At 39.4% G+C, this 12,757-nt stretch overlaps 1 long non-coding RNA gene across 3 annotated transcripts in view; it reads right to left on the bottom strand.

Annotated features, from left to right (window-relative positions):
- Positions 1 to 12,757, bottom strand: part of LINC02987 (long intergenic non-protein coding RNA 2987) — a 231,539-nt gene that overhangs the window by 147,235 nt on the left and 71,547 nt on the right. The window lies entirely within an intron of this gene.

The raw sequence follows: 12,757 nt of genomic DNA, 5'->3' as shown, positions 1-12,757 counted from the left end.
ATTGGGCAAGGCCCCTTTAATGAAGGGGGCATGCTAGATTGAACGCTATATCCTGCTTTTATGGCCCATGCTAAAGAATTTACGCTTAAAAAAATTGTTTTTAGCTTGCTCCCATACTCACCGCTCTGATGAATGTTATACCTCAGATTCCTGGCCAAAGCACCAAAATGATACAGCTCCGATGACTGGAGGAACACGAAGGTCCTTTGTCTTGTGCCAATTTAGATAAAATGACACGGACACACGTGGAGTGGTTTTAAGGAGTGGAGACTTTAATAGGCAAAAAAAGAAGGAAGAATCTGCCTTGTACAGAGACAGAGGGAAGGGACCTCTGTCCCTTCTGTCCCGAGCGGAGAGAGGACACCCTGAGTGAAGCAGAAAAAAAGTTGGTTATATGGGGAGGCTGGAGGAGGAGGTGTCTGATTTGCATATGAACCAGGGGATTGGTTTGACCAGGTATGTCATTTATATGGCCCATGAAAAAACTGGCCCCAGCATCTTAACATGCAAATGCAGGCCACCATGATATTCTGCATACGTGGAGATCTCTGGGGGTGGCCATGATGCTTGGCACACGTGGTGACAAGGAGAAGAGGGCAGGAATCACCATTAGATGGACCTAGTTTCTAATGGCTTCCATTTGCATATCAAAGCTTGCCAGCCTGGCCCTTTGAGCTGTTTTTCTACTAGAAAAGAAACATTTCTGGAGCTGCTTTTAACAAAAAAACCTTACCAAGGACCCCTTATCCTATCTACCTAAAATAATTTCTTAATAATTCCTGTAATACCAAGGTCAGTATTCTTTCTGCCTTCTCTTGTTTTTGCTTTACTCCCCCAAGCAAGGTGACCCTGATCTCTTGATTTGGAAGATGTTTGGCTAGGAAGGAGCCTGTGAAGCCAGTAGAGCTGGTGTGTGAGGACACAGGTGCCTCAGGACATTCTGGTGCCTTGCCCTGCCAGGTTCTTGATCCTTTCACACTCTGGATCCTGTTTAGGCTGATCCCCTTCCCCTTCACCAGGTCCTGCCTTTGAGCCATAGGCTTGGATGTGTTCTCTAAGCTGTCCAAAAGGCCCCCTGTACCCTCCGTGGTCTGTATGCTATTTTGGGAGCCCGATGGTGCTCCCAGGAACAGGGAGAGAAGTCCAAGTTGCTTGTTTCTTCTCTGAACCCCAGCAAAGTTTGAACTGGTGGCAGTGTAGGACACAACAGGACAGAGAAAGCTAGAAGATACTCGTTCCAGGATGGCCACCCACAATTCCCCTGAAAAACTTTTGTTGCCTCTTGAGTATCATTTAACCCACACCCACATATAGAGTGTGGCAAAATAAAACTATTCAAACACTGGTCACTCCAAGTACCCATTGCAGTATGCATACCTCACTTTGCTGCTGAGTATCGAGAGAAGCAAGACCCCCGGGGGTTACTAAGGATTTGAAGTCAGGCTTCTCTGTGAGGGCTAATTAAGATGGGTAAAGTTTTCATCACTTCATGAACTCAACTCTTGAGCAGTCTGGGTCACAGTTTACCTTATATCTGGTCCTGGACAGCAGCAGAACCAAAAGGCAGGTGAGAAAAGCCCAGATGCACTAATTAAATACTAATTATTGAAATAAAATAGAAGACAAGGTGGGGTCAGGAAGTCCCGCAGATTAACTTTCCTGTAGGATGTTCAGGAAGCAATCAGGGCATCAATTCTGAGTGTCAATTTGCAGCAGTCATTTAAGGCTCATTAGAAGAACAACTCCAGGTAATAGGCATAAAAATAAGCTATTAGAAGGGGGAATACCATTGATCCATTACATTCTCTAAAACTATTCTTTCTCGTGTGTTTTCTTGCTTTACTCTGCTCAGAATAACTGACACAATAGGATAATGTGAAGGCCAAACAGAACAAACTAAAAGACAGAAAATTGGTGAAATCTCTAATAAGAGGAATTAAGAATGGTCCTCTTCTGTTGTTGACTGTTCCAACTGAGTTTTACAATGTATTTTGACAAAACCCAAAATATCTAGGGGTGTGTAGCAGAGCAGTTTGTACCGACCAAATGTCTCATGTTCTCCCCTAAATTTCCCAGCTTTCCTTGCAGTTATGTTGGGGTAATGTGACTAATTCTGGCCAATGAGCTGTAAATGCAAGTGATGTGTGTCACTTCCAGGCTGGAGTAGTTAAGAGCTTGTGGGCCTCCTCCTTAGGCTCTTTATCTTGCCTCAGTAATCTTTGAGAGGCCACATGCTGCAGAAGATGCAGCTGTAAGAGATGGAACAGCTGACAAACCCATATCATGCTTACCTACATTTATTAAAGAATGTATTAAACTTCTGATATTTGTCTCTGTCATAAGGTATCCTGATAAATCCAGACTACCCCTTCCCAGTGCTTTTCCAAAAACTTCCTCCAGCCAATGCAGACATGACAATTTTCAGTTAGAAGCATCCTGGAACAGGATTTCTATGCTTGAGCCAGAGGATGCTGTGGACATAGTAGAACTTTAAGTTCCCATGCTCTGGAAAGTCTTTGCACCTTCTTAGTGGTATTATGCACAGCTCCAAGAGGAAATAGAGCTACTCAGGTTAGTGGTGATAAATTATATTAAAAGAATAAGAAGATTTAATTACTCATAAAATAAATTTTCCAATGGTGACTGCAGTGAGTTGAGCTGGAACCAAAGTCTGATATTCTGTATTAAATTAAGAATACGAAGTGATATGGTTTGGATGTTTGTCCCCTTCAAAGCTCATGTTGAAATGTAATCCCCACTGTTTAAATTGTGGCCTGGTGGTAGGTATTTGGCATATGGGGGCAGATCCCTCATGGATGGCTTAGCACAATCCCCTTAGTGATGCATGAGTTCTCACTCTGAGTTCATGTGTGATCTGATTGTTTAAGAGTATGAGGGATCTCTCCCCTTGCTCTCTTGCTCTCACTTTTGCCATGTGAGCTGCCTGCTCCACTTTTGCCTTCTGCCATGATTGGAAGCTTCCTGAGTCCTTCACCAGAAGCAGATCCTGGCACTGTGCTTCCTGCACAGCCTGCAGAATTGTGAGCTGGTTAAATGCCTTTCTTTATGAATTACCCAGTCTCAGGAATTTTCTTATAACAATGCCAGAACAGACTAGTATACTAGTCTTTGGTCTTTCATGCAGTAAATTAAACAAAATATTGGAACAAAAATGATTTTAGAAACAACCTGTTTATATCTTTCAATTTAGTTCACATATTGAATGAAGGCTACTAGGTTTTTGACATTCTGCAGTTTACTGGGAAGTCAGAGATAATGTGACTCAATTTATTTCCTGTTGATTCTGGACTGGGAATCCACAGTAGGGCTCATTCTCCCAAGAAGTTCATGAGTGAGTCTGGATTGCTAGAAACCATGGCAATGGTTTCCTCAGTATCCCTGTCTGATCCTTGCAGTTCAGTAACCTGATGTCAAAATGTTCAGAAGGAGGAAATGAAAGGTGAAGTGGTTAATGATAAGGTTTGAACAGGTGGACATGTCACAAGCAGGGATGCATCACTGAGGAACATGGAATTTATACTTGTATGGTTAAGAAGCAGCCTTGGGAAGCAGGAGACTTATTTAAGTTCCCATCATTAAATTTGCCTGAACCAAGACTAGAAATATGGTATGTTTTTTCAGGTGATAGCAATTTATTTTCTTTCATACAGTCCCTCCTAATTATCATCCTCATAGGATACCATCTTCCTTCTTTTATTCATTTATTGATTCTCCTCTTATAGAAAATCCAAATACCAGTATGTTTCTTATCTACTGAAAACAGAAAATTAGAAAAATTGTGAAGGACATAAATAACAAATTGAAAATAAAAAGACTTTCCTGAATACAAAAAGCAAGGTGCTCTGAGAAGCTAACAACATGTCCTTTATGGGAGGGAAAATTTTCAGAGTGGCTGAGTAAGTTTTGAAAAGAAGAGTTACGTGCATCAAAAATTCAGTTCAGATTTGGCTTTCTAAATATATTTTTAGCTTAGAATATTTATGAACTGAGACTTTTCCAAAAATACTTAATAAAATACTGGTCACCACCAATCTTTTGTAAATAATTAGTAGATTATGAAAGAGACTAATGCCAGATCCAGATGTATTTGTCCACTCTGAAATCTATGAACCATGATCTACACTGAGTTTGGACTTGAAAAGGCACAGCATATAGGTTAAAAAAAAAAAAAAAAAAAAAACACCAAGGAATAATAGGTGTTCCCAAGCTTAGGATGATGCAGAGAACTTCCTCACAAGCTTATGAAAGAAAGACAAATCATGGATCTTATTTATAAAGGGGATGGTTCTATAGTCATATAACATAGTGTCAAAAAGTTAATCTAAACTTTGGAGTGAGATATTTTTCCCACCTATTGCCAATTTCTATCTTGGCAAATGAGCATATTCCTTGACGTCTCTAAGTCTCAGTTCAATACTTCAAATGAGGATTATACGTGGGTCTTTGCTTTAGAGGTTTTCTGTTTGTTTGTTTGTTTTTTGAGGCAAAGTCTCGCTTTATTACCCAGGCTGGAGTGCAATGGTGCAATCTTGGCTCACTGCAAACTCTGCCTCCCAGGTTCAAGTGATTCTCCTGCCTCAGCCTCCCAAGTAGCTGGGATTACAGGTGCGCACCACTATGCCTGGCTAAATTTTTGTATTTTTAGTAGAGACAGGATTTCACCAGGTTGACCAGGCTGGTCTTGAATTCCTGACCTCATGTGATCCACCCTCCTTGGCCTCCCAAAGTGCTGGGATTACAGGCATGAGCCAGTGCACCCAGCCTGCCTTAAAGTTTTATGTGGGTTAAATTAAAAGATTATGAAGAGAAGCAGAGTCCATCCTAGACTAGAGATGCTCTGTAAAGACCACAGACCACCCCTTGCCAATCAAGGGGGCAAGGAAATGTTTCCAATGGATAATTCAACTTCCACAGCTCAGGATAAGTCTAAGCCACAGCTCCAACAGAAGTTGGGGTCCTCATTGCATAGAGGAGCAGTAGATATATAGAAGGCAAAGCACCAGCTCTATGACTGATCTTTGAGAATGGACAGCAATGTGACCCACCACAGCTAAACTTACTGTAAATCGTTATCACCATGACTATCATCATCAACATTATAATCATCATCATCACCATCATCACTATCATCATCATAGTCCACATCATCACCATCAACATCGTCATCACCACCACCATCCTCACCACCGTTATCATTAGCAGCACCATAATCATCATTATCACCATTTTTGTTTTTGAGACAGGGTTTTGCTCTGTACCCCAGGCTGAAGTGCAGTAGCGTGATCACAGCTCATGGCAACCTTGAACTCCTGGGCTCCAGTGAACCTCCTGCCTCAGCCTCTTATTACCATTATCATCATAACTGTAACTAAATCTGCTCACTCAAATGTTTAGTGACTACATAGGTATCAAGCAGCTACTAGGTGCAAATACTGTTTTTGTGTTCAGGTGGAGCCTACATTATGAAGGGGAAGAAGACAATAGGCATATAATTAAGTCAGTGTAGAATGCTTTTTTTATGGTAATAAGTGCTATAAAGAGATTAAAGATACTATGGAGGAGGTGGCCAACAATAATGTGGTCAGGGAAGTTATTTTAAAAAATCTGGGACAAAGTAATTTAAAATTCTAGTACAATATTACAACCAGAATATTAAAATTAATAAAATCAAGATACAGAAAATTTTATCACCACAATTTGGGCATTTTCATTATGTGTTTAAAATTTCAAATGTCTTTTTCCCCCTTTCAAATAGATTTTATTTTTTAGGACCATTTAAGTTTACAGCAAAATTGAACGGAAAGTACAGATATGTCCCACATCCTCCCTTCCCTCACAGATGCACAGCTTTTCCCTCCAGCATGGCAGTCTTGTTACAATTAATGAATCAATATTTACATTTTACTATTACCCAAAGTCCATAATTTGCATTAGAATTTACTCTTCATGTTGTACATTCTAATGACAAATGTATAACGACATGTATCCACTATTATATTATTATACAGAATATAATGCAGTATGATACTATAATACAGTATATGTATAGTACACATTACAATATTTGTACTGTCTTAAAAATTGTTTGTGCTTCACCTATTCATCCCTCCCTCCTCTCAACCCCTGGAAATCACTGATTGTTTCACTGTTTCTATAGTTTTGTCTTCTCCAGAATATCATATAGTTGAAATCATACAGTATGTAGCATTTTCAGATTGGCTTCTTTCATTTAGCAACAGGTATTTGTTTCTTCCATGTTTTTTCATGTCTTGATAGTTCTTTTTTTAAATAACTGAATAAGATTTAATTGTCTAGATATAATGTTCATTCATCATTCAAGTTTTGGTAATTATGCTTCTATAAATATCTGTGCATAGGTTTTTGGGTGGGCATAAGGTTTTTAACACATTTGGGTAAGTACTAAGGGGCACAACTGCTGAATTTTATAAGACTATGTGTGGTTTTGTAAGAAACTGTCAAACTGTCTTCAAAAGTGGTTGCACCATTTTGTGTCACCAGCAATGAAAGAGAGTTCTTGTTGCTCCACGTGCTTACCAGCATTTGGTGTTGTCAGTGTTCTGAATCTGGACCATTGTAATTTGTGTATAATCATATCTTATTGATATTTTATTTTGAAATCTTCTAATATCATATTATATGGGGCATCTTTTCTTGTACTTATTTGGCATCTACATATATTTTTGATAAAGTATCTGTTCAGGTCTTTTGCCTGTGTTTTTTAATTAAGCTTTTTTACCTATTGTTGAGTTTTAATTTTTTAAATATATTAGATAGAAGTACTGTATCAGATATATCTTTTGCAAATAGTTTCTCCCAGTCTATAGCTTGTGTTATCCTTCTACTGACAGTACCTTTGGCAGAACAGAAGATTTAAATTATAATGAAGGCCAGCTTATCAATTGTTTCTTTCATGGGTCATGCCTATGGTGTTGTATCTAACAAGCCATCACCATGCCCAAGGTAGTGTAGATCTCTTTTCCTATGCTATTTCCCAGAAGTTTTACAGTTTTGCATTTTACATTTAGTCTTATGATCCATTTTGAGTTAATTTTAAGCAGTGTAAAGCCTGTTTGTAGATTCTTTTCATATGTATATCCTGTTGTTTGAGTGCTATTTACTGAAAAGACCATCTTTTCCTCATTGTATTACCTTTGCTCCTTGATTATATTTATGTGGGTCTATACCTGTGCTCTATAACCTGTTGCATTAATCTCTTTTTATCTTCTTTTATGAATACCATACTCTTTTGGTTACTGTAGTTTTATAGTAAGTCTTGAACATGGGTAGTGTCAGTCCTCTGGCTTTTCATTTTTTCTAATGTTGGTTATCCTGGGTCTTTTGCCTTTTCATGTAAACTTTAGCATCAGTTTGTTGATTTCCATGAAATAATTTGTTGGGATTTTTATTTTAATTGTGTTAAGTCTATATGTCAAATTAGAAATAACCAATGTCTTGACAATATTGAATCTTTCTATCCATAAACATGTAGTATCTATCAATTTCTTCAATTATTTGATTTTTTAAATCATAGTTTTATGGCTCTCCTTATATAAATCTTGTACATACTTTGTTAGATTTTTAGCCAAGTATTTTATTTTGGGGGATGCTAATATAAATGTTATGGTGTTTTAATTTCAAATTTCAGGTATCTATTGCTGATATATAGGAAAGTGATTACATTTTGTATATTAACCTTGTATCCAGCAAATGTTGAATGGTAAAGATCTTTGTTTGGTTACACAGCTAATGTGCAGTGCTGGCAGGATTTGAATCCAGGTTAGTCTAATATTCAGGTTCTCTAAACTATGATCTGTTTTCTTTCCTGAAATTTTCTTCACCCATTTATTCCCATTTGGGACCCTTGCTCAACATGCTGTGTGCAATGAAGGCTTACCTATGCCCTCACTGATACTAAAGATCTTTCCCAGCTGCCTTTCACCACACCCAAAAGAAAGTTAAGGGCAATTATTACTTATTTGTATTTTTTTGCTCTAAGTCTTAATTCATTTAAGGAGGAATCTAGTTAACCTATCCCTGTAATCTCAGAGCTTAGCACAAGCATTGACCCAAAGATAGCAGTGAGCAGATACTTCTTTAAATAAATTACTATATGTTGATATCTGCCCCACGTAAGCGGGGAGGGAAAGATCTGGAAGAAATTAGGTGTTCAGAATTAACATTCTATGCTTAGGCAGCCTGGGAGGTCTGCATGTTCATTGAGGCATCAGGGATTTTGTGGTTTCCTTCAAGGAAACCCCAAGCATGTAGAATTTTTTCTCTCCTCACATTATGCTTTGAGAAACTTGAGATGGATCTTGTCAGCATAATTCAAGAGTAATTTAAGTAGTAAACCAAAATCAAAAGCAGAGGCACACTTTCATTGATATACATGAGTGTCAAAGTATTTCTCATGCAAAAAGTATCCTAATTCATCTAATAACTAAAAAGATGGCTAAGCAGAGACAATGGTAAGAAAAAAAAGTGAAAATTAAATGCTCTTAGATTTACTAACTTGTTTCCTTTTTCATTTAAAGTAATATCAATTAAAAAGCAAACTAATTTTCTCTACTTCTTCCACAAAATCAAATAAAATTAAATTTAGATTATAACATATAAATAGAATATAACCCAAAATAAAGGTCAAGAACACCATTATTGGCTGGGCACAGTGGCTCATGCCTGTAATCCCAGCACTTTGGGAGGCCAAGGTGGGCAGGTCACCTGAGGTCAGGAGTTCAAGACCAGCCTAACCAACATGGAGAAACCCCGTCTCTACTAAAAAACACAAAATTAGCTGGGTATAGTGGTGCATACCTGTAATCCCAGCTACTCAGGGGGCTGAGGTAGGAGAATCACTTGAACCCAGGAGGCAGAGGTTGCAGTGAGCATATATCGCACCATTGGACTCCAGCCTGGGCAAGAAGAGCAAAACTCCGTCTCAAAAAACAAACAAACAACAACAAAAAAACACAATTATTTGCTTTGAAAAGTTTGTTTTCATTCTGATTACCAAACAAGAATGCATTCAAAGCCTTAGGGACAGCAAAACAGGCTTTATGGAGATTGTTAGAATTTCCAATTAGAAAGAATGTTTTCTCAAGCATCAATTATGAAGCCATGAAAGTCTCAACCTCCCTAACTAAAATAAGATCTCAAATCCATGAACAGTCCATTAGAGCAGCAATTCATGTTCCTCTTGAGAAAGCCAGACAGTAGTTCCTGCTAGGGGAGACAGAAGAGGTAATGGGCAAATTGGCAGAGTACTGTGCTCACTGTTCTAACATCAGAGCTCTCTTCACAAACCTCTGATGGGTCTAATGCTGGGACAGTTCACAGTAGGACACTACAACAAAGCCTGCCTTTAACATGAAAATTATTCCTAAAATGTCTCTGTTGATAGCTGGCAATGCACAAAATAAGGAGTTGGCTATTTGCAAGGAAGCAAGAATTAGCATAATCAGCAGCTGCAGCCTTACCCACAGACATAGAACCATAAAGAACCTCATGCCTTCTAAAACCAAGTTAGGCAAGAGGCCTGAATAGAATAATACTCACCACCTGCCAATGTCCCCCAAACCACAGCAAGGAAGAGCCATTTGCTACTGGTCTAAGCATACTCTATAGTTTTCTAATTAAAATAGAAACAAATCTTGTGTTAATAATATGACATTCTAGTGATTAGGGATGTTTCCCTTGCAGATAAGATTTTTTTAAAAAGATGGCTTTTATTCTCCATCATCCCAAATGTAACAGCAGATGGCTCAGTTAATCTGTGCCTGGCCTCCTGGCCTCCTGTGAGATAATAGACTTCTAATTTTTCAAACCACTCACTTTGTGATTTTTTATGCAACATAAAATAACAACAATAACACAGGCCTGGGATGGTGGGTCATGCCTATAATCTCAGCACTTTGAGAGGTCAAGGCAGGAGGATTGCCTGAGCCCAGGAGTTTAAGATCAACCTATGGAACATAGTGAGACCCCATGTCTACAAAATAAATAAATAAATAACATAATCCAGGCATGATATCTCATGCCTTTATTCTCAGCTACTCAGGAGGCTGAGGTGGAAGGATTGCTTGAGCCAGGGAGGTTGAAAATGCAGTGAGCCATGTTTGTGCCACTGCACTCCAGCCTGGGTGACAGAGCAAGACCTTTTCTCAAAAACACATGGCCAGGTGTGGTGGCTCACGCCTGTAATCTCAGCACTTTGGGAGGCTGAGGCAGGTGGATCATGAGGTCAGGAGATCAAGACCATTCTGGCTAACACGGTGAAACTGGGTCTCTACTGAAATACAAAAAATTAGCCTGTCATGTTTGCACATGGCTGTAATCCCAGCTACTCTGGAGGCTGAGGCAGGAGAATCACTTGAACCTGGGAGGCGGAGGTTGCAGTGAGCTGAGATTGTGTCATTGCACTCCAGCCTGGGCGACAGAGCGAGACTCTATCTCAAAACAAAACAACACGGAGACATGCAAATAAATAGATTATGTTTATAATAACATGTTTTACCTAGTTTAATGAATAACTGGTGCACTGTTGTATGGATGCACTGTTGGTTATTTCATTACAGTGTCATAAATCCTATGCATACAGGATACTAGCAGGTAAATTTATTTTTAAAAAGTTGGCCATAAAGCACTACTGAGTAAGGGAGTCCTAGAGAATTGGAAAATGCATGGCCAGACTAAAATAAAAGGATGTTACTTAGCTGCAGCCAAATGATTTTTTCTAATTTTTAAATTTATTCATTTATTCTTGTTACTTCACACTGGCATAGAGTATCCCAGATCTTCTCTGTTTTTTGAAGAAAAGCCAGCACTCTAAAATTCTATGTGGGAAGTAATTTTTACAAATATTGACAACAAATTGTCAGAATGACTGAGGTCAACCAGGTGTCTCTCCCCTTAGAATGCCTGAAGTTGGCCAGGAGTCTCTTCAGTTAGAGCGCCTGAGGATGGCCAGGTGTTTCTCTCCATAGAATGCCTGAGGTCAGCCCAGAGACTCTCCTTAGAATGCCTAAAGTAGGCCAGTTGTCACCCCATTAGAATGAATGAGGCCATCCGGCCATACAGGTGTCCCTCCCCTTGGAAAGCCTGAGGTCAGCCAAGTGTCTCTATAATTACAATGCCTTTGGTGGGCCAGGTGTCTCACCTGTTAGAATGCCTGAGGTTGGCCATGTGTCTTTCCCCTTAGAATTCCTGAGGTCGGCCAGGTTTCTCTCCTATTAGAATGCCTGAGGCCAGACAGGTGTCAATTCTGTTAGGATGATTGAGGTAGGTCAGGTGCCTCTCCCCTTAGGATGCCTGAGGTCGGCCAGATGTCTCTCCTGTTAAATATGCCTGCAGTTAGTCAATTGTGTCTCCCATTACAATGAATGAGGTCAGCGAGGTTTCTCTCCCATTACAATGAATAAATAAGGCCAGCCAGGTGTCTCTCCCTTTAGAATGCCTGTGGTTGTCTAGGTATATCTCCCATTAGAACGAATGAGGTTGGCCAGCTGTCTCTTCTGTTAGAATGCCTGAGGTCAGCCAGGTGTCTCTCCACTCAGAATGCCTGAGGTTGGCCTGGAGTCCTACCCCTTAGAATGCCTGAGGTGGACCAGGTGTCTTTCCCATTAGAATGCCTGAGGTCACCCATGTGTCTCTCCTATTAGAGTTCCTGAAGTCTGCCAGATGTCTCTCCCCTTAGAACATGTGATGTTGGCCAGACTTTTCCCTTAGAATGCTTGAGGTAAACACCTATTCCAAAATTGACCACATAGTTGGAAGTAAAACACTCCGCAGCAAAAGTAAAATAATAGAAATTATAACAAACTGTCTCTCTGACCACAGTGCAATCAAACTAGAAATCAGGATTAAGAAACTCACTCAAAACCGCTCAGCTACATGGAAACTGAACAACCTGCTCCTGAATGACTACTGGGTACATAACGAAATGAAGGCAGAAATAAAGATGTTCTTTGAAACCAACGAGAACAAAGACACAACATGCCAGAATCTCTGGGACACATTTAAAGCAGTGTGTAGAGGGTAATTTATAGCACTAAATGCCCACAAGAGAAAGCAGGAAAGATCTAAAATTGACACCCTAACATCACAATTAAAAGAACTAGAGAAGCAAGAGCAAACACATTCAAAAGCTAGCAGAAGGCGAGAAATAACTAAGATCAGAGCAGAACTGAAGGAGATAGAGACACAAAAACCCCTTCAAAAAATCAATGAATCCAGGAGCTGTTTTTTTTTTAAAGATCAACAAAATTGATAGACCGCTAGCAAGACTAATAAAGAAGAAAAGAGAGAAGAATCAAATAGATGCAATAAAAAATGATAAAGGGGATATCACCACTGATACCACAGGAATACAAACTACCATCAGAGAATACTATAAACACCTCTATGCAAATAAACTAGAAAATCGAGAAGAAATGGATAAATTCTTCGACACATACACCCTCCCAAGGCTAAACCAGGAAGAAGTTGAATCTCTGAATAGACCAATAACAGGCTCCAAAATTGAAGAAATAATTAATAGCTTATCAATCAAAAAAAGTCCAGGACCAGACGGATTCACAGCCGAATTCTACCAGAGGTACAAGGAGGAGCTGGTACCATTCCTTCTGAAACTATTCCAATCAATAGAAAAAGAGGGAATCATCCTTAACTCATGCTGTGAGGCCAGCATCATCCTGATACCAAAGCCTGGCAGAGACAC

Source organism: Homo sapiens, chromosome 19, assembly GCF_000001405.40.
Source record: "Homo sapiens chromosome 19, GRCh38.p14 Primary Assembly".
Classification (NCBI taxonomy): Eukaryota; Metazoa; Chordata; class Mammalia; order Primates; family Hominidae; genus Homo; species Homo sapiens.
Note: the sequence above shows the minus strand (reverse complement) of the source record. Positions and strands in the feature narration are given on the sequence as shown.